We start from the raw sequence: 23,910 nt of genomic DNA, 5'->3' as shown, positions 1-23,910 counted from the left end.
AATTATTTTGTGTTCAATACAATGTTTATTAAAGGAAAAGTAATAACAATGTCCTCGTTTGAAGCATACATATGTATTATTAAAATTTAACCATAGCTGCAATAATTATTTAAAACTTGGACTAACCACAGATTTTTTTGGAATGGAGTATTTTATCAGTGATGTTCAGAATTGCTGGAACCTGGTGATAATCAAAAGCAGACTGGATTTCAATTGGTTGTATTGATTTATTTATTTTTTTGAGATGCAGTCTCACTCTGTTGCCCAGCCTGGAGTGCAGTGGCGTGATCTCTGCTCACTGCAACCTCTGCCTCCCGAGTTCAAGTGATTCTCCTGCCTCAGTCTCCTGAGTAGCTGGGATTACAGGCTACTGGTCTGCCACCATGCCAGCTAATTTTTGTATTTTTAGTAGAGATGGGGTTTCACCATGTCGGCCAGGCTGATCTCGAACCCCTGACCTCAGGTGATCTGCTTGCCTCGGCCTCCCAAAGTGTTGGAGGTATACGCATTATTACCATGCCCAGAGGGTTTTGCTGATGTTTTTATATTCACTAAAGTCAACGCACCTCTTATTGCCTGCACCTACAGCAGACCACTTCCACCACCCTGCTACTGGCACACAGGTCAACACTGTAAGTGAAGTGTCTGTCAATTAACGAAAAGAGTAAAACCAAGAGCTTTTTAAGACTGATAAACAAAAAAGATAAACACAATTAAGAGTCCTAAAAAGAAGGAGAACTGGATGCTGGTTTGACTTGTCAGGGAAGGCTTCCTAAAGGAAGAAAAATGTATCTTGGCCTTGAATGAAGTATATCTCAACTAGAGCCGTGTTTCCAAAGCCTCAGTTATCCACATGACCAACTGGGGCCATGTGTGAACAACACACATACTATTATATACTTATGTATATAATATACATTTTTATTAACATGCATTCATGAATAAAATATTATATTACTACTGTCATTAGACAAACTATAATACAAACCTATAGTACAAATAGAGCAAAATAACATTATTGAATTTAAAAATTAAATCCAAACTAAAAGTTAAGTAGTAAAATGAGCAATATTCGGTGTAATCAATTTGTAGAAATGCATACCTAAATATAATTTCTAACAGAAAAGAATAAAGTCAATCAAGAATAAAGCGTATAATAGGCTCAGTCACTTAGTTTCAGATGAAAAGAAATTTTTATAAAATAGTTTCAGTGATTAGTTATGATTTCACTGAATTCCAACTGACAAGAGCATAGAATGAGAATAGAAAAAAAAATCACTATATTCTCTGAAAGAACTGAATCCTGATAATTAATTTTGAATCAAAATAAAATAGGAAGTTTTTTCTGATAAATATTTATTTCAAAAACTGAAGCAAGCTTCAAACTTTTTCTGAATATATTAATATTATCTGCTAATGTCCTTAAGGGAAAATATTTTTGGTTTTTCTTTCTTTTATTTTAATCCATTTACTCCATTTGGAAAAATAATTTCAAAGAATACATATCAAGTTTTTCCAACTGCTTTTCATAATATTCAAAATATTTTTAGCGGATATTCATCAGAGTTAATAATCAAGTTGTTTGCACAATGAAAAAAAATCACAATTTTCATTATTTGAGGCATGAGGCCTACAGATCTGGTTTGCAGTCACTGTGTTCACTTTGTTGTACGCTTGATGTATTGGTATAAACTTCTTTTGTAAGGGTATATTTAAGTTGATCAAATGAATAAAAATATACCAGTTAGCAAAGCCATTTCCAATCAAGTATATGATCTTACAGATAGAAAATTCTCTTAGGAAAGTGTTGATATTCTTCTCAAAACCCCAGTAGATGTTCAGGGCCTTTCTATCTGAAGCCAGGGGCATCTGAATAAAATAGAAATCGTTTTAGTGTTTGCCCACCTTTTCATAAAGCATGCCAGAGCATAGTGATCAGTACATTTAACTTCTCATGCAACCATTAGAATGCCATTCACTACTAGTGCTCACATTTCCAACACAGCTCACTTTTACATTGTAAAACTCTTATTTTTAACCATTGCTCTTGAATGGGCCCAATGTAAGAGAAAAACAAAGAGCAAAAGCCGAACTCTAACATATTTATACTTAACCTACTAAATGAGTTACTGCTTCCACAAGTGATGTTTTTACACATTTCTGAAAAGAAAGAACCATAGACATGGATTTTCTAAAGCAGAGCCTCCCAGTCACTGGGCTCTCACACTTACCACAAGTGGATTACAAGTTCTGAGATACTGACCCCCAGCTTTCTGTGAAGCTGATGCAGCCAAAGGCCCCAGAGTGCTTCACCTTTGATCACAAGCAATATTATCCATTTACACCACTGTGTTACAACTACTACCATTTTTCTACTATGAACATCAGGTAAAAAAAAAATGTGGGAAGCATGGATTTATGTTAGCAACTCATATCATCCAAACTGAAGCAGCCATGATGCTTTAGACTGAAGTGGCGGATAAACTAACTTGAACTGGCTTCAACAGTAGGAAAATGCCTTGGCTCATGGAACGGAAAGTCCAACTAGAATTGGTTTAATCTGGTTTAATATAGAGCTCTCTGAACATGTCTCAACTCGGTGTTGTGGGCTGACTTGGTCCTCAGGCTGCCTTCTTTTATGGTACCAAAGTAACTATAGCAGTTTCAGTCTTTGTATCTGCAGCTTCTACATCCAGAAAAAGAGAGGAGAGGATATCCTTTCTAATGGCTCTTAAGAGTGATTAAACGTCTTTCTCAATTCTCTAGTAGACCTTTCCTCTTTGGACTGAATCAAACCAAATGCCCATTCTTGAGCCAATCTATCTGGCCAGGGTATGGGGCCACTCCATTTATATCCTGATAATGTGGAAGACTATAATTTTATACTTTGTAAAAGTGGGATAATGCAGCGTTTTCTACTCTAGCCCATTCTGAGCAGTGATATCTATGAAGTCATGGGTGTGATGTGACTTTTTAAATTCTCCACTATATATTGACTAAGACCCTACATATTAAAATTTCCTTTAAAAAAGTTTGGTCAGCTGAGTGCTGTGGCTCACGCCTATAATCCCAGCACTTTGGGAGGCCGAGGTGGGAAGATCACTTGAGGTCAGGGGTGCGAGACCAGTCTGGCCAGTGTGGCAAAACCCCATCTCTACTAAAAATACAAAAAATTAGCCATGCATGGTGGTGAGTGTCTGTGGTCCCAGCTACTAAAGAGGCTGAGGCATGAGAATGGCTTGAACCTGGGAAGCAGAGGTAGCAATGAGCCAAGATAGCGCCACTGCACTTGAGCCTGGGTGACAGAGTGAGACTCTGTCTCAAAATAAATAAATAAAAAATAATTTGGTCTACTACCCAATTATATTATGTTATACCAGAGGTACACACACCACACATTGGCAATACTAGGCAAGATGGAAGAAGAAGGGAAGAAAGCAAGTTGTGTCAGAGGGTGAGCCATGGAAGAGCAGAGGGGGTAGCATGTTACAGGGACAATGAGTCCTAACAGGATTCATTGGAAAAATAGTGGGAAATGAGAATTAAAAAATAATGGATAAGGAAGGGCCTTGAGCTCCAGGCTGAGGAATTTTGGTATTACCTATGAGGCAACTGGGAACCTTTTTGAGCAGGAAAGGATATGATGAAAACATTATTTGAATAATATTAAGTTGACAGGTCTATGAAGAATTGATTAGAATGAGAGATATTTGCAATGACAAAGGAATGATTGTAATAAGACAAAGTAAGAAGGAGGAGAAACATAGGTGGGAAGCATTTTAAAGAGAAATTGACTAGAGTGGGGAAAACGTGATGCACAGCATGGAAATAATGAGTAATCTAGAATGATTTCAAGCTTTATTAGAACAGGTTTTCTCTGGTACAAGAATCAATTTAGCCTATTTAGAATAACAAATATACACATGTGTGTGATTAACCCAGACTCCAGGTCCCTAGCCGGTAGACTTTTAAGTCTTTTCTAATACATCACTCCTCTCAAAGAAAAAAGTCACAAGTAAGAAAGCTTGACCTTGAAAGGACAATGATATCACTGAATAAGTGGCCTCACCAAATCAATCCTGAAAATCAGACCCCATAATCCACTCTGAACCTCCTTCCCCTATCAAAAGCAGGCCTGGACATCTCCTTGCAGACAAAGAACCTGCCTCACTTCTGCCCCCTGCCCATTAGGTGTCATACCTCACAATCCTCTAGGAGTTTTAGCCCAGGGCCTGCACCTTGGAATCTAAATGGGTCTTTTATTTAGAGGACCGTCAGAGCCCTGTTTCTAGAACAGGCAATCTTCCTAATGCCTGTTGGGCATCTTCCTGGAAGAGTGGACAAAAGGAGCAGGTGCTAGAGAGAAGATGCTGAGAGATCAGTCACACTCAGCACAGAACTGCACTGGTGGCCTTCCCGCTCACTCACTGTAGGGCATTTTACAGTAATTTCTACCTTGTATCCTGGATTCTGTGACTTTTATTTCTCAGTGTTGCTGGCTACTAGCCACCACAGTCCTCTGGGAACAGCTCCTGGCAGCTGCATCCCAGAGCGACGGTAAGCAGAGGGCCCAAATGGCTTCCATGTTGCTCCTGCAGCTGCAGTCTCAGGAGTCAGGGACATGCCAGGTGGCTGCTCCTGGAATGAGGGAGCAGAGCACTTGGGCTCCCTGGACAGGTGGTGGTGGAGAGCTCAGGGTTCCAATTATTTTTTCTCTGAGGTGCCAGGAGGTATAGAACTGTCAGGGTGACTAGGAAAACACTCTTGACAAGTGTTGCTCATCTGGCTGATGCCACTTAAACAAAACTGAGTTCTGGTTTGTAAATATCCTCTTGATTATCCTTTTCTAAGACTATTTCCTGAGGTTGGAGGTTACTGAAAAATATGCATGTACAGATGGCCAAGGTTAACTTTTGCCTCCCAATCTTTCTCGCCGCTGTGGTTAGAAAGGAAATCCTGAGTGCAAATAGTAATAGTAATAATAATAATAATAATGTAATAGCACCTATTATATTTAGGTTTCCAACATGCCAGACAATGTACTAGGCATTTTGAATGTGTTACTAAATTAACACAATTGTGTGAATTTTGTATTATGGTTACCCTTGTTTTACAAACAAGAAAGCAGAATTTAAAATGTTATCTGTCTTGTCTAATGGCATATAGTGAATAAGTGGCAGGGCCAGGACTCGAATCCAGGTCTATTAGAGTCCAGAGTAAGAGCACTTGCTGAGCACACCACTCAGACCACCTATAGGAGCTTAGTCCATGAAACTCTAAATGTATGGATTTCATGTAGTTAAATATATTTTAACACAATGAAAAGCCTTCTTTCCTCTCTTAAAAGTTAAGTGGAAAATTGTCATATACTGTTGGCGAGAATGCAGATTAGGACAACCACTGTGGAAAACCATTGGCATTATATACTAAAGTTAAAGATTTGCATATTATATGATCCAGCGATTCTAGTCCTGAGTATATGCCCAAAATAAACGTGTGCACATGTGCATCAGAATAAATGTACAAGCATGTTCATAGCAGCAGTATTTGTAATAGCACTAAACTGAAAACAACCCAAAAGTCTATCAACAAGAGCAGGTACATAATTGGGGTATATTAATTCAATGGAATACCACACAGCAACAACAACAAACAAATGAAACCAGTTACATGCAACAATATGGATGAATGTTGCGTTAAAGAAGCCAGACACATAGAATGCATGTTGTAAGATTCAGTTTATTTAAACCTCACAGAGAGAACTCAACTATAATGTTTAGAGATTCATTCCTAAAGGATAAAATTATAAGGTAAAGCAAATAAGTGCTTACCATAGAAGTAAGGAAGGTGGAGAGTGTGGGGAAGTGGTCATATGGGAAGAGGCTGGGTGGTTCCTGGGGTTCTGGCAACATTCAATTTCTTGGCCTGAGAAAGCAATTACATGCAGCTTGCTTTATAATAATTTAAACCAAACATATATATTTTATGCACTGTCTGTATGTGTGTCTTATTTTACAATAGAAATAGCTTTAAATAAGTTTAGATGAAGAAAAGGCAAAAAGAATAAAGACACCAAGACAATATTGGGTCTTTGTTTTAAAATTCAGGCTAAAATGTCTTGGTAAGTAGTTCATTTTAGGGCAGATTTTAATTAGCAGAATCTGCCACCTCTGGAGTCACTTCTACCCTCCTTGCTGATCTGAAGCTCCACCACTCCCACTCTTTTTTTATCATTAATGTTTTTCTTGTTAAAGAAATGTTTCCTTGTTCACATTATAGGTGACTGCACTCGAGTGTTGTTTCTCTACAAAGGGACTGATTGATTTTTGTGGTCTGCTCATTAGAAGTAATCATGAACTCCTTGAGTCACCCTTGATTCAAGAACACTTTTGCAATTGGAAAATGGGAACAGCAAGGTTTATTGTTTTAATTAACACATCTGAATAAAAGCTTGTCAGGGCTAGAAACAAAGGCAACCATGATACCAGGCAAGGCATGTGAATAGAGCTGGGGATGGGGATGAGGCAGGAGGAAGGACTGGGTCCAATCCCAACAGGTGGTCAGCTCAGGTGTCTCAGGCCAGAGCAGGGAGGAGGTTGACATCCAACTCCTATGGGGGTTAAAGGTCTGTGTAAGCAGCATCGAGTTCTGATAATCAGTTGCAATGTCTCTAAACTCTGAATTCTGAAAGTCATGGCCTTCTAAGCTAAGAGAATTCAGGACATGTTGAGACGTTCAGGACATGTCCACGTTCAATGACAAGGAGAAGTAAGTGGTAGTAAGAAACCCTGTCTCATGTTCTTCAAAATAGTAAGTTATCTTGACTGTGATTTGTACTTTCTTCAACTGTCAGCAGCCAGCTTTATATTCATATGCACTGGGCTGCAGCTAGCAGAAATAAAAGCCAAGGAAAGAGTCAGAGGAGAAGGTGGAGGCAAGAGGGTACTACTATTCATTTGTGCACCAAATGGCAAATATACTCAAACAATGCCATGGGTTGGAATGTGGCTCTCCATCTAATGGAGGCAACTCTGGAAGTACAGGTCCAGTGCCCTGGAATGTTGCTACGCCAAGGGTGGTCCACTGACTGTTACTATCTAAAGCAAGGTAAGTTCAGAAATGGAGGATGGGAATTCAGAAATCTATACAGCAATTTGACAGAGAAATTTTGTGCCTATTGAACCAAACAATAAAAAATTAGTACTTTTAAATGTCTTTTCTACTTTACTTTTCTAGTATTTATTTTTATTATATTTTATAACAGTGTTAGTCTACAATGGACTGAAAATTTTTAAAATCAGGTGCTTCATCACAGATTGTTTAAGAAGGTACCACCCCTAAGAAATAGTCTCTGAGGGATATGCCTGATTAAACTAAGCTGGGTTCCATTTTTCTCATTGCTGGGGGACAGGAAAGAATGAAACTCTTGCAGAGTTTTATGTGGCAGGTATCTGCAGTTCATAAATGGACACAGATTTATGAATAAATGCTTTACTCTTGCTGTATAATAGAAGTCCAGGTAATAAACATTGACTGGATCTTACTGTATTTCATATACCGTTCTAAGTTATTTAGATATAGCATTTCACTTAATCTTCACAATAACTCTGTGAAGTTGGTTCTGTTTTTATTGTCCCATTTTATCAAAGAGAAAACTGAATAAGGCATAAGGAGGTTAAGTAGTTTACCCTATTATAAACCACAGTAGAATCCTGTTGGGGAGAATGTAGTGTGCAAATTAAAATTAATCTCTGGGTTTTTCTTTCTTTCCTTTACTTCTCTGAATTTGACTTAGCTTTCAAGGCTCACCTAAAATTCCACTTTCTTCATGAAGCATTCATTGATAGGCTTATTCTTTACCAAATTATATAATATTTTCTCAAATTATACATTTTGACATTATTACTATTATTTGTGATCCCATTTATATTTTATCTCTATCTAATGGAGGCAACTCTAGAACAACCTATATGAGCCCATTGAAGACAAATGCGACAACACATACATCCCTACACCCTCATCCTGCTTCACTTCCCAAATGTCTGCATGCTTGCACACACATGCTGTGGGCTTTCATTGTTGACTAGAACTGAGTCACCTAATTAAAGCTTATTTTTGTTATTTTCATAAGGATGAAACGCAGGACGATACACATATATTAAAATTTTCACATGTGGGGAATCAAAGAGAGATGTTAATTTTTACTCTGTGTGTTTCTGTATTATTTAGATTTTTACAGGGGAGGCAGATCATGGTGGATGGAAGACAGGACTAGATTGCAGCTCTCACTCGGACAGACAGGGCAGGCTGTGGAGGCTCACATCATGAACTTTTGCTCCAGAAAGGCTGCAGGAATAATTCAGGAAAGCCAGGAGAACTCACAGACCCTCTGAAGGAGGCAGATTACTCCTGCAGGACTCAGAAGACACTCCATATACTGCGAGTGCCCAAACTGTGGAAGTGGAAAAGAGGGATCATCTGCCTCCCAAACACACACCCTCACAGAGGAACCTGAAGGTCTAGATCACAGGAAAAGATTCTGGCCTTACCTTCAGCTGAGTCAATTTAGAGAGCCAAGTGAAACACAGCAGTAGAGGAAGCAGCAGGAAAAGCCCTGTGAGCTCACTGGGTCCCCTAGCAAGCCATTTCCACCTTGCCTCACAGGGGTCCTTGGGGAGGGCTGCCAGAGGCACTGGAAAAGGCCATAGGGAGAAGGAAACATTTAGCTGAACTTTGTAAACATTTTAACTGATCAGTAAGTCTCCTGGCCAGAACTTGTGGGAGGGCATGAATCCTGTGTGCAGACTGCACAGGTGAGGAAAGCACAAAAGCCCTACTTCACAACTGGGAGGTGGTGGGACAAGTTCTAAACCGTACTTGCCCACTGCCTGGAAACAGACTCCACACTATTGGGAGGGGACATGGTGGGAGTGTGACTGGCTCTGTGGGTTGCATGGGAGCTAGATGAGGCCTGTGACTGCTGGCTTTCCCACACTTTCCTGACAACCTGCATGACACAGTAGAGGCAACCATAATCCTCCTAAAAACATAACGCCATTGACCTGGGAACCACACCCCCATCCCCCACAGGAGCCACAGCAAGACCTGCCCAAGGAGTCTGAGCTCAGACATGCCTAGCCCTGCCCCCACCTAATGGTCCTTCCCTACACACCCTGGTAGCTGGAAGACAAAGGGCATAACACTCTTGGGAGTTCTTGGGCCCTGCATGCTGCCTGATCCTCCTTATACTACCATAGCCAATACTTTCTGGAAAGCATCACTTCCCAGCAGGAAGCCAACCAGCACAAAAGTAGTGCATTAAACAACCAAAGCTAAGAATGCTTACAGAGTCATTTCACCCCCCTGCCACTTCCACCAGAGCAGGTACTGGTATCCATGGCTGAGAGATGCACAGAGGGTTCACATCACAGGACTCTGCGCAGACAACCCCCAGTACCATCCCAGAGCCCAGTAGACTTGCTGTGTGGCTAGATCCAGAAGAGAGATAACAATCACTACCGCTCAACTCTCAGGAACATACAACCCTAGGAAAAAAGGGAGAGTACTACATCAAGAGAATGCCCTGTGGGATAAAAAAAAAAAATCTAAACAACAACCTTGAGCCCTAGACTTTCCCTCTGACAGAGGCTACCCAAATGTGAAGGAACCAGAAAACCAACTCTGGTAATATGACAAATCGAGGTTCTTTGACACCCCCCAAAAATCACACTAGCTTACCAGAAATGGATCAAAACCAAGAAAAAAAATCTCTTATTTACCTGAGAAAGAATTCAGAGGGTTAGTTACTAAGTTAATCAGGGAGGCACCAGAAAAAAGACAAAGTCCAATTTAAGGAGGTCAAAAAAAGACAAGAAATGAGGAGAGAAATTTTCAGTGAAATAGATAGCATAAATAAAAAACAATCAAAACATCAGGAAACAATGGACGCACTTATAGAAATGCAAAACGTTCTGGAGAGTCTCAGCAATAGAATTGAACAAGCAGAAAAAAGAACTTCAGAGCTTGAAGACAAGGTTTTAGCATTAGCCCAATTCAACAAAGACAAAGAAAAAAGAATAACAAAATGTGAACAGGCCAGGCGCAGTGGCTCACACCTGTAATCCCAGCACTTTGGGAGGCCAAGGAGGGTGGATCACAAGGTCAGGAGTTTGATACCAGCCTGACCAAAATGGTGAAACCCCGTCTCTACTAAAAATACAAAAATTAGCTGGACGTGGTGGTGCACACCTGTAATCCCAGCTACTCAGGAGGCTGAGGCAGAATAATTGCTTGAATCCGGGAGGCGGAGGTTGCAGTGAGCCAAGATTGCACCACAGCACTCTAGCCTGGGCGACAGAGTGAGACTCTGTCTCAAAAAAAAAAGAAAAAAAAAAAAAAGATGAACAAAGCCTCCAAGAAGTCTGGGATTATCTTAAATGACCAAACCTAAGAATAATCAGTGTTCCTGAGGAAGAAGAGAAATCTAACAGTTTTGAAAATGTACTTGGGGAAATAATCAAGGGAAACTTCCCTGGTCTTGCTAGAGACCTAAACATCCAAATACAAGAAGCTCAAACAACACCTGGGAAATTCATCAGAAAAAGATCATCACCTAGGCACATTGTCGTCAGGTTATCTAAAGTTAAGACAAAGAAAAGAATCTTAAGTGTTGCCGGAAGTCAGGGACCGCAAATGGAGGGACCAGCTGAAGCCATGGCAGAAGAACGTCGATTGTGAAGATTTCATGGACATTTATTAGTTCCCCAAATTAATACTTTTATAATTTCTTATGCCCGTCTTTACTGCAATCTCTAAACATAAATTGTAAAGATTTCATGGACACTTATCACTTCCCCATTCAATACCCTTGTGATTTCCTATGCCTGTCTTTCCTTTAATCTCTTAATCCTGTCAGCTGAGGAGGATGTATATCGCCTCAGGACCCTGTAATAATTGCATTAACTACACAAATTGTACAGCATGTGTGTTTGAGCAATATGAAATCTGGGCACCTTGAAAAAAGAACAGGACAACAGCAATGTTTAGGAAACAAGAGAGATAACCTTAAACACTGACTGCCAGTGAGCCGAGCGGAACAGAGCTGTATTTCTCTTCTTTCAAAAGCAAATGGGAGAAATATTGCTGAATTCTTTTTCTCAGCAAGGAACATCCTTGAGAAAGAGAATGCGCACCTGGAGGTGGGTCTCTGAACTGGCCTCCCTGGGTGTGTCCGTCTCTTATGGTTGAGACTGCAGGGGTGAAATAGACTCCAGTCTCCCATAGCACTCCCAGGCTTATTAGTAAGAGGAAATTCCCGCCTCATAAATTTTGGTCAGACCGGTTGATCTCAAAACCCTGTCTCCTGATAAGATGTTATCAATGACAATGGTGCCCGAAACTTCATTAGCAATTTTAATTTCACCCCCATACTGTGGTCCTGTGATCTCACCCTGCCTCCACTTGCCTTGTGATATTCTATTACCTTGTAAAGTACTTGATGTCTGTGACCCACACCTATTCGCGCACTCCCTCCCCGTTTGACACTCCCTAATAAAAACTTGCTGATTTTTGCAGCTTGTGGGGCATCACAAAACCTACCGACATGTGATGTCTCTCCTGGATGCCCAGCTTTAAAATTTCTCTCTTTTGTACTCTGTCCCTTTATTTCTCAAGCTTGCCAACGCTTAAGGAAAATAGAAAAGAACCTACGTGAATATTGGGGCAGATTCCCCAATACTTAAGCAAAAACACCAGGTAGCCTATGAAGGAAAACCTATCAGATTAACAGCAGATTTCTCAGCAGAAACCCTACAAGCTAGAAGGGATCGGGGCCCTATTTTCAGCCTCCTTAAACCAAACAGTTATCAGCCAAGAATTTTGTATCCAGCAAAACTAAGCTTCATAAATGAACGAAAGACACAGTCTTTTTCAGACAAACAAATGCTGAGAGAATTTGCCGCCATCAAGCCAGCACTACAAGAACTGCTAAAAGGAGCTCTAAATCTTGAAACAAACCCTAGGAACATATCAAAATGGAACCTCTTTAAAGCACAAATTTCACAGGACCTATACAACAAAAATACCAATTTTTAAATAGGAATATAAGCAACAAATAGCACAATGAATGGAATGGCACCTCACATCTCAATAGTAACATTGAATGTAAATGACCTAAATGCTTCACTTAAAAGATACAGAATTGCAGAATGGATAAGAATTCACCAACCAACTGTCTGCTGCCTTCAAGAGACCCACCTAGCACATAAGGACTCAGACACATTTAAGGTAAAGGTGAGGAAAAAGACTTTCCATGCAAATGGACACCAAAAGTGAGCAGAAGTAGCTATTCTTATTTCAGACAAAATAAACATTAAAGCAACAGCAGTTAAAAAAGATAAATAGGGACAAATAATGATGAAAGGCCTTGTCCAAAAGGAAAACATCACAATTCTAAATATATATGCCCTAACACTGGAGCTCCCAAATTTATAAAACAATTACTAATAGACATAAGAAATGAGGTAGACAGCAACACAATAATAGTGGTGGACTTCAATACACCACTGACAGCACTAGACAGGTCACCAAGACAGAAGTCAACAAAGAAACAGTGGATTTACACTATACCCTGGAACAAATGCATAACAGATATTTACAGAACATTCTACCCAACAACCACAGAACATACATTTTATTCATAAGCACATGGAACTTTCAAAGATAGACCATATGATAGGTCATAAAACAAGCTTCAATAAATTCAGGAAAATTGAAATTATATCAAGCACTCTTTCAGGCCACAGTGGAATAAATCTAAAAATCAAATCCAGAAAGAACCTCCAAAACCATGCAAATACATGGAAATTAAATAACATGCTCCTGAATGATCATTGGGTCAAAATGAAATCAAGATGGAAATTAAAAATTATTTGAACTGAACCACAATAGTGACATAACCTATCAAAACCTCTGGGATACAGCAAAGGTGGTCCTAAGAGGAAAGTTCATAGCCCTAAACAGTGACATCAAAAAGTCTGAAAGAGCACAAACAGACAATCTAAGGTTATGCCTCAAGGAACTAGAGAAGCAAGAACAAACCAAACCCCAAACCCAGCAGAAGAAAGAAAATAACCAAGATCAGCACAAGTAAATGAAATTGAAACAAAAAAAAATACAAAAGATAAACGAAGCAAAAAGCTGGTGCTTTGAAAAGATAAATAAAATTTATAGACCATTAGCAAGATTAATGAGGAAAAGAAGAGAGAAAATCCAAATAAGCTCACTTTGAAATGAAACAGGGGATACTACAACTGACACCACAGAAATACAAAACATCATTCAAGGCTGCTATGAACCCCTTTACAAATATAAACGAGAAAACCTAGAGGGGATGGATAAATTCCTGGAAAGATACAACCCTCTCAGCTTAAATCAGGGAGAATTAGATACCCTGAACAGGCCAATAACAAGCAGTGAGATTGAAATGGTAATTTAAAAATTACCAAAAATGAAAAGTCCAGGACCAGACAGATTCATGGCACAATTCTACCAGATATTCCAAGAAGAATTTGTACCAATCCTATTGACACTATTCCACAAGATAGAGAAAGAGGGAATCCTCCCTAAATCATTCTATGAAGCCAATATCTCCCTAATACCAAAACCAGGAAAGGACATAACTAAAAAAGAAAACTACAGGCCAATATTCCGGATGAACATAGATGCAAAAATCCTTAAGAAAATACTAGCTAACGGAATCCAACAACATATCAAAAAGATAATCCACAATGATCAAGTGGGTTTCATACCAGGGATGCAGGGGTAATCTACTATATGCAAGTCAATAAATATGATACACTACATAAACAGAATTAAAAACAAAAATCACATGATCATCTCAATAGATGCAGAAAAAGCATTCCACAAAATCCAGCATTGCTTTATAATTAAAACTCTCAGCAAAATCGGCATACATACCTCAGTGTAATAAAAGCCATCTATGACAAACCCACAGCCAACATAACACTGGATGGGGAAAAGTTGAAAACATTCCCTCTAAGAACTGGAGCAAGACAAAGATGCCCACTCTCACCACTTCTCTTCAACATAAAGTATTGGAAGTCCTAGCCAGAGCAATCAGACAAGAGAAAAAAAAATAAAGGGCATCCAAATTGGTAAAAAGGAAGTCAAACTGTCACTGTTTGCTGATGATATGATTGTTTACCTAGAAAACCCTAAAAACTCATCCAAAAAGCTCCTAGAATGGATAGATGAATTCATCAAAGTTTCTGGATACAAAATTAATGTACATAAATCAGTAGCTATTCTATATACCCACAGTGACCAAGCTGAGAATCAAATCAAGAACTCAACCCTTTTTACAACAGCTGCAAAAAATAAAATAAAATACTTAGGAATATACCTAACCAAGGAGTTGAAAGACCTCTTCAAGGAAAACTACAAAACACTGCAAAAGAAATCAGAGATGGGCTGGGCACAGTGGCTCACGCCTGTAATCCCAGCACTTTGGGAGGTCGAGGTGGGTGGATCATGAGGTCAGGTGATTGAGACCAACCTGGCTAACACAGTGAAACCCCATCTCTACTAAAAATACAAAAAAATTAACTGGGTGTGGTGACGGGTGCCTGTAGTCCCAGCTGCTTGGGAGGCTGAGGCAGGAAAATGTGTGAACCCAGGAGGCGGAGCTTGCAGTGAGCTGAGATCACACCACTGCACTCCAGCCTGGGCGACAGAGCAAGACTCTGTCTCAAAAAAAAAAAAAAAAAAAAAACAATCAGAGATGACACAAACAAATGGAAATGCCTCCCATGCTCATGGATGGGTAGAATCAATATTTTGAAAGTGACTATACTACCAAAAGCAATCTACAAATTCAACACAATTCCCATCAAAATACCACCATCATTCTTCAAAGAATTAGAAAAAAAATCCTAAAATTCATATGGAACTAAAAAAAGAATCCACAAAGCCAAAGGAAGACTAAGCAAAAAGAACAAATCTAGAGGCATCACACTACCTGATTTCAAACTATACTATAAGGTCATAGTCACCAAAACAGTGTGGTACTGGTATATAAATAGGTGGATAGACCAATGGAACAGAATAGAGAACCCAGAAATAAACCCAAGTACTTAAGCCAACTGATCTTTGACAAAGCAAACAAAAATATAAAGTGGGGAAAGGATATCCTTTTCAGCAAATGGTGCTGGGATAATTGGCTAGCCACATGTAGGAGAATGAAACTGGATCCTCATCTCTCACCTTATACAAATATCAACTCAAGATAGATTAAGGACTTAAACCTAAGACCTGAAACTATAAACATTCTAGAAGGTAACATTGGAAAAACCCTTCTAGACATTGGCTTAGGCAAGGATTTCATGATCAAGAACCCAAAAGCAAACGCAATAAAAACAAAGATAAATAGCTGGGACCTAATTAAACTAAAGAGCTTTTGCACAGCAAAAGGAACAGTCAGCAGAGTAAACAGACAACCCATAGAGTGGGAGAAAATCTACACAATCTATCCATCTGACGAAGGACTAATATCCAGAATCTACAACAAACTCAAACAAATTCTCAAGGAAAAAACAAACAAACTACAAACTAAAACAAATTAGCAAGAAAAAAACAAACAATCCCAACAAAAAGTGGGCTAAGGACATGAATAGACAATTCTTAAAAGAGGATAGGCTGGGTGCAATTGCTCACGCCTGTAATCCCAGCACTTTGGGAGGCCTAAGTGGATGAATCACTTGAGGTCAGGAGTTCAAGGCCAGCCTGACCAACGTGGTGAAACCCCATCTCCACTAAATAATACAAAAATTAGCCAGGCATGGTGAACAGGCACCTGTAATCCCAGCTACTTGGGAGGCTGAGGCAGGAGAATCACTTGAACCTGGGAAGCGGGGATGCAGTGAGCTGAGATCATGCCACTGCCCTCCAGCTTGGGTGACAGAGGGAGACTCTGTCTCAAAAAAATACATAAATAAAAATAAATAAATAAATAAATATACACACACAAATGGCCAACAAACATATGAAAAAATGCTCTATATTCCTAATGTTAGAGAGATGCAAATTAAAACCACAAGGCAATATCACCTTACTCCTGCAAGAATGGCCATAATCAAAAAATAATAGATGGAGTGGATGCATTGAACAGGGACCAATTCTACACTGCTGGTGGGAATGTAAACTAGTACAACCACTATGGAAAACAGTGTGGAGATTCCTTCCTTGAAGAACTAAAAATAGAACTACCATTTGATCCAGCAATCCCACTACTAGGTATATACCCAGAAGAAAAGAAGCCTTATACAAAAAAGATACTTGCACACACATGTTTATAGCAGCACAATTCACAATTCCAAAAACGTGGAACCAACCCAAATGCCCATCAATCAATGGGTGTATAAAAAAACCGTGGTGTACATATATATATACACACACACGTATATATAATATATACACTTATAATATATACACTTATATATTATATATACACGTATATATTATATACACTTATATATTATATATACACGTATATATAATATATATACGTACATAATATATGCATATATATTATATATATGTATATAAAATATATATTATATAGTATACTATATATTGTATATATATGAAATATATATTATATAGTATACTATATATTGTATATATATAAAATATATATTATAATATATAGTATACTATATAATATATTGTATTATATTGTATATAATATATTGTATTATATTATATTATAATATATAATATATTGTAATATATTGTATTGTATATTATAATTGTATACTATATTTATATATAGTATATATAATATATAATATATAATATATATGTATATTATATATATTACATATCATATATGTATATTTTATATATTACATATCATATATGTATATTTTATATATTACATATCATATATGTATATTATATATGTATATTATATATCTTGTGTATATATAATATATATTATATATCTTGAATATATATAATATATATATTATATATCTTGAATATATATAATATATATATTATATATCCTAATATATATATATAGTAACTCAGGAATGGAATATATACATGAAGTAACTCAGGAATGGAAAACCAAATATTGTATGTTGTCACTCATAAGTGGGAGCTAAGCTATGAGGACACAAAGGCATAAGAATGATCGCAATGGATTTTGGGGACTCGGGGGAAAGGATATAAAGGGGGTGAGGAATAAAAGACTACAAATTGTGTGCAGTGTATACTGCTTGGGTGATGGCTGCACCAAAATCTTACGAATCACCACTAAAGAATTTACTCATGTAATCAAACACCACCTGTTTCCCAATAACCTATGGAAATAAAAAATTTTTTAAAAATTTACAGTAGATGTTTTACTTACTTATTAAAATTCGTTTTAATCCTGAACTGAAAGTTTCTGACAGGAAGGGTGAGTGAGGCAGTGAGTTGGAAGAGCACGAACTGGAAGAAGGCGATATTGATTTCCAGTGTTGGTTCTACCTTGGACTAGACTTAGGACTTCCCTGAGACCAAGAGAGGGACTATAAAGCCCTGCCCCTGTGCCATGACCTTAATTCTTATAAATTTAAGTTTTCAAAAATTTCACTATTCAATCATATATATTTAAATGACATAATCCTATAACTTTACATTTTTTGTTTTTCACATGTGTTATCAGTGTCATTCCATGTGTGCACATGTGTGTTTGTATGAGTATGTTTCCTCATATGTGGTTAGGAGGAGATAAGATTGTTTAGGGCCTGAGAGCAGATGTGTTACTGGAATTTAGGCACCAAAATTTTTCTGAGCTTTCTGAGGGTCAAAACCAAAATATATTAAGCCATAACTGTTTATAATTATTATTTTCATTTCAAGGAATATTAACACACAGCATTTTCTTCTTACAAAGGAACTGGTTCTGTGGGATGTGTTACTCCATTCTGCAATCTTTCCTGGCCAAATGTTTGAGCTTATTTAATTGAGAACCATGATCATCCATCAGTCACTCTGCAATGCAAGTCTGAGTTCATAACACACACAAGTGTAGGAGTGTAAAGGAAATCAGCCATGTTAGGGGTTTTGAAACTGTCAAAGACTTATGTCCACAGAACACTATCATTAGCATTTTATTCATGTAAACTCATCCAATGATTGATAAAAAGAAAATGTGGATGTGAGTGTACACAATATAATTATTTCGGAATCAATATGCTTTTTCTATTAGCTTTTAAAATCTGTTTGCATAAAAAGTTTCTTTTCCAACCCAGCTCCTCTGAGGGTTCTTGTGGAGAGAAGTGACTGGGGACATGATCTTTGCAATATTTCATTTCGTTATCTCTTATTATTACATGGTGGCCCAGAGCATGGCATGAATAAAGCTGTCTTGTCATCAAAATGCATTCATTCATTTAACAAGTTTCTGAAAATAACGGAACGGTTGCTAAGCAATGGGGAAATTATACATTCCCAGGGATCTGTGAAGATTCTAAAAGCAAAAGTAGTTCTGGGAATTGGCATTAGTGTCTGTGGAACCCATCTAAACAAAGCCAAGAAAGTGACATGCTCTACCCAATAGCCAGGAAGCAGCATCTTTTTATTTTTTTTCCTCATTCTGACCCAGATTTTCAAAGTAATGATGTAGGGAGAAAGTTTCCTATTAAACAGCAATCTATGACTCTTTATGAACTACCGATACCTGGAAATTCTATATCACATTTATCTTACATGAACTGTGGTATGAAAGAACATATTCTTTTAACTAGAAAGTACATTTTATTTTAAATAAAATAATATGTTAATTGCAAAAATACATGCTTAATATGAAATACTTAAATAACACATGGACGTGCATTTTAAAAAAATTAAAAAGTTTTTGAAAACTAAATCACCCATATTCCTACCCTTCCTGAAATAGCCAATATTAATATTTGGGATATGTTTATCTTCCACATTTCCAGAGGTATGTAAAGTTATTATTTATTATTATTTAACATGTTATACATGCACACTACACATATACAATCACTATAAAAGATACACATATATTATCTTTTAAATGATTTTTGAAAATTTAGGTTGTTCCTAGTTGATTACTATTATAAATAACTCCTAATTATCCTGCACAAACATTTAAAAATTTAAGAGCTTTTTTACTGCAAAATTAATGCACGTAGAGAAGCATTTCTGAAATGGCAAAGTAAGAAACTGAAAATCTAATTCTCCAATCAACAAAAACACTGGGGAAAAAATGTCCAATAAAATTTTTTTTTTAAAGTTCTGGAAATTAACCAAAAACTTGGAACAATACAAGTGATCATTCAAGAAAAAAGGATGAATCTCAGTGAGGATCTCAGCAAATTTTGTGGAATTTTAACTAGCACTATTCCTATCTCCTTCTCCTGAGATCTATGGTAAACTTGAAAACTAGCAGTCTCACAACCACAGATGCTAAAAAAAACAGTATTGTAGCAGCCACTGGAGGGAGAAAAATGGTTTTGGAGCTCTCCAAAAGCCCCGTTTACAAAGATTGTCACTATTTGACCTATCTGGCAGCTCATTAAAAAGTCCCCTATTCATAGTGTTTTTCTTTATTTGAACTTACTCAGGGCTTGCTCAATAAGAAAAGTCCTGTCCCCAAGGTGTTTGTAAAAACAATCAGTAGAAATTATTTAGCACCACTGCTGTCTCAGTCAGCAATATCATTTGGATCAAAGAAAATCTGTCCAAATAAAAGAAAATCTGGAAATAAGATGTTCATAGTGCATTTTGAAAAGATGAAGTATGTTCCTGGGGACCTAAAAGGCCATGCACATATGCTGGGTAGTACAAATGTTTAGGAAACAACAGAGAAGGTCCCAATAGTTCACCTGTATGTAACCTTGAAGTGCTATGCAAGCAGAAAGTAAAGCCTAAGGCAGAATTGTAAACTGTTGGAGCATTAAAGGTGTTCCTCCTAACAAATACAGAGCCTACCAGAAGAGGGTGGGAGACTCACTAGTTCAAGTCATATAAAGAAATCTCTGTCAAATCTTTAGCAGTAAGCTAGCAAATCAGAGACTTCAGTGGCTATACAGGGTGATTACAAAGTTTACAAAATTAGTACAGGAAAGCCAATAAACAAACAAACAAACAGAAAATAAAAACAACAAATATCAACAACAAACTCAGGGAAGGGAAAAAGTCTGATTTTCAAAGCAGCCATATATTATTATTTAAAATGTAGAGTTTTAACAAAAAATGTAAGACATGAAAAAATGGCAAAGTGTGGCCCATACGTAGGAAAAAATTGAGTCAATAGAACCTGTCTTGAAAGAAGCTGTTAACATTGAACTTCCTAGACAAAGTCTTTAAATAAACAATTATAAGTATATTCAAAGCACTAAAGAAAACAATGTCTACATAACTAAAGTATGAGAACAATGTCATATGAAATAGAGAATATTGACAAAGAAACTATAAAGATAACTAAATTAAAATTCTGGACTTGAAAAGTAAAAAAAAAATAAAAATTTTACTAGAGTGACTCAACAGCATCTTTGAACATGGTGAAGAAATAATCAACAAACTGAAAGATAGGTCAATTGAGACTACCCATTCCTTTAATTTTAAGAAAAATTAGGTCGAAAGAAAAGATAGGTCAATTGAAACTATCCATTTCCTTTAATTTTTCTTAAAATTAAAAAATGGCCAGAGCCCCAGATACTCTAGAACACCATTAAATGTAACAACATATACATGGTGGGAGTCACAGAAGAAGAAGAAAAAGAGAAAGAGGAATTTAAAAAAATACTTGATGAAACAATGCCTGGAAATATTGATCTCCTTAGCTAAGAAGCTCAACTAACTCCAGGTAGGATAAACTCAAAGAGATCCATGCCTAACTATATCATAGCCTATTTGTCAAAAGACAAAACAAATAATTTTGAAGGCAACGAGAGAGAAATGACTCATTACATACAAAGGATCCTCAATAAAATTAACAGCTAAATTCTCATCAAAAACCATGGAGACCAGAAGGCAGTGGGATGATATATTTAAAGTGTTGTGTGTGTGTGTGTTGGCAGGGGTGTGGGGGGGGTGAAGCTAACTGAGAATTCTATACCCTGTAATTTTTTTTCAAAAGATTAACAAGAAATTAAGATACAACAGGGAATTCATCAACAGCAAATTCCCTCTACAAGAAATACTACAGGAAATCCTTCAGAATGAAATGTAAGGACACTAGATAGCAACTCAAATTCACATGAAGAACTAAAGAACACTGGTAACTATTATTGGTAAATATAAAAGATGGTATAAATGTATTTTGATTCTATTTGATTGAAAAAAAAGACCACTTTAAAAAAATCATAAAGATGTTTTAATGGGCTTATAATATATAATAATATAATTCATATAAAAAATAATAGCATAAAAAGGGTAAGGGTATAGAGCTTTACGGGAGCAGTTTTTACATACTATTAAAATTAAATTGGTATTAACCCAAACTAGATTGTTTTAAGTTAAGATGTTAGGTACAATCATGTGTCACATAGTATTTTAGTTAACAACAGATGGCATACATAATGGTGGTTCCATAAGACTATAATGCCATATTTTTAGTGTACTTTTTCTATATTTAAATATGTTTAGATACACAAGTACATACCATTGTATCACAACTGGCTACAGTATTCAGAACAGTAAGATGTTGTACAGGTTTGTAGCATAGAAATAACCAGCTGTACTGTACAGCCTAGGTGTGTAGTAAGCTATACCATCTACATTTATGAAAGTACACTCTTTCAACCTGAAGTTAAGCCCTATCACAAATGTCATATGCATCTGGGTCATTTTATATTTTAACTATGGATATATGTGTTAATTAACAATATATATTTTACATAAACCATACAATATACATGGTATTTAGCATTTGTTTTTCAAAGCCAATATTGTTTTTGAGATCTACTACTTATAGTAATCAAATACATCTATTTTTTCTCTTTTACTGCATCATGAATATGCCACAGCTAACTTCTCCTGCCCTCTGCTGAAGAACATTTGGGTCTTTATCAGCTTTTTCCTGAACCAAACAATTTTCCAATGAATAGTTCCTCATCCTGTTCTCTTGGTGCATATGTGGAAGAATTTCTTTATGATATATACCCAAAAGTGGAGTGGCTAGCTTGTAGCTTTTGCTGGTCTTTAATTTTACTACCTATTACCAAATTGCTTGTACAAATTCACAGTGCCACTTGAACAGATGAGGCCCCTGACCTTATGGAATTTGCATTCTGGTATGCGTCCAGAGGAGGGTGAGAGATTGATAAGCCCTATCTCATTGCATCCTTGACCGCCTTAGCTTTGTAAGACTCTTTAAGCCATCTCATTATTGTTTTAATTTATTTTGTAATTACTGGTAAGATTAAAGGTCTCTTCACGTATTTACCAGTGAATTTTATTGATTTTAAAACATAACTCCCATTTTTAAACATATATCTTTATGATTTGACACCCTTCTAAAAGAGCCAGATGCATGGATCCAACTACAGGAGAAATATATATTTTATAATAGTATGAAATAATATGAAATACTTTGTCATAAACCAAGAGTAATTTTTTTAACATCTGGCCTTATGAAATAGTAACAACTGATAAAAATAAAGAACCAAAGTTTTTGACTAGGAAACAATTTAGGAAATTGATTTCCAAAGAGAGTGGCCTACACTTTGGTTCCTCTTTGATTGAGTGGATTTTTTTAATCAAATAAATTAGTCTATTTAATTCTGAAAATGTTCTTCCAGAGGACTTTCTGCATTAAAAATTCTTGTCATTGAGAATTAGAGTAGCCTGGGTAAGAGTTACTTGGGTACAGCTGGGGATGTGTAATGCACAGTCTACATAATGCAAGCACTACTGAGCATGTCCTGGGTCCTCATGTCTATTATAGGAGATGGAGAAGAGAAAAATTTCCAGATAAAACCCCTCAGACTCAATTTCATCTAGAAATCATTTTCTCATTTGAGCACTAAACAGAATTCTGCCCAAAGCCACTTAACTAGCATTCAGAAGGATCTTTAATTTTAATCTATTTCAAATAAATGGACCAATAAATTAGTGGGACTCAGTGCATAGTCCAGGACACTATTCACATCTTATCAATTGTGACTTAGTCATGATTTCTTAGAATTTTTTATGACAAAATTAAACTGATGGATTACAGCAATTATAAAGCAGTGATCACAAAACATAGCACTGTGTTTTAAATGAATACTTGCAAGCTTCTTCAGTGTGGCTTCTTTATGTCTGGCTATTACCTTCTGATAGGTGATATACACACTCCACTGAAGTTTTTAAGATTAAACCCACATTAGAGCTGTTGTACAATTGCCTTGGAGCATGTAGATATTGCTATTGGACTTTGACCTGTAGCTCTTCCATTATAAAATAATAGATACTCTGAATTTCCTCAACCAGCACTTCCAGACCTTTGAGGGCACTGCTTTCTACTCTTTCTTACTTAAAGACTTGCTCCCAGAAGCTTTGCTGAAACTATTTGTCTTCCCCCTATGCTGTCAACTGCCTGATTGAAGATCAAGGCTCTGAGAGGATAGAAGTCACTTCTTCTCTTATTCCTCCCAAGAAGTACATACAGACAGCAACTTATTCTGTCACACAACCAAACTAGGTGTTTTTTGGTTTTTCCTTAACCCTTGGTATGACTGGAATCTCTCATTCTCACTTTGTGACTTGCCCATGAGTCCTAACTATCCCACAGCTTGCTGCCAGTCAGGAACATTTTTGCACTGAAGGCAGCCAAACTCCCCTGCCAATATGCTATGGCCAGGTCTCTGGAATATCATCCTAGTTCTGCTG

The 23,910-nt window shown here is 37.1% G+C and overlaps 1 long non-coding RNA gene across 1 annotated transcript; it reads right to left on the bottom strand.

Annotated features, from left to right (window-relative positions):
• Positions 1 to 895: 895 nt before the first annotated feature.
• On the bottom strand, positions 896 to 5,925 carry LOC124901076 (uncharacterized). Its single transcript, XR_007058949.1, has 2 exons — positions 5,832 to 5,925; positions 896 to 1,869 (listed from the first exon to the last, which is right to left on the bottom strand). It is a non-coding gene; the product is annotated as an uncharacterized LOC124901076 (long non-coding RNA).
• Positions 5,926 to 23,910: the final 17,985 nt, after the last annotated feature.

This window comes from Homo sapiens, chromosome 5 (assembly GCF_000001405.40).
Source record: "Homo sapiens chromosome 5, GRCh38.p14 Primary Assembly".
NCBI classification, from domain to species: Eukaryota; Metazoa; Chordata; class Mammalia; order Primates; family Hominidae; genus Homo; species Homo sapiens.
This window is presented reverse-complemented; position numbering and strand designations above follow the sequence as displayed.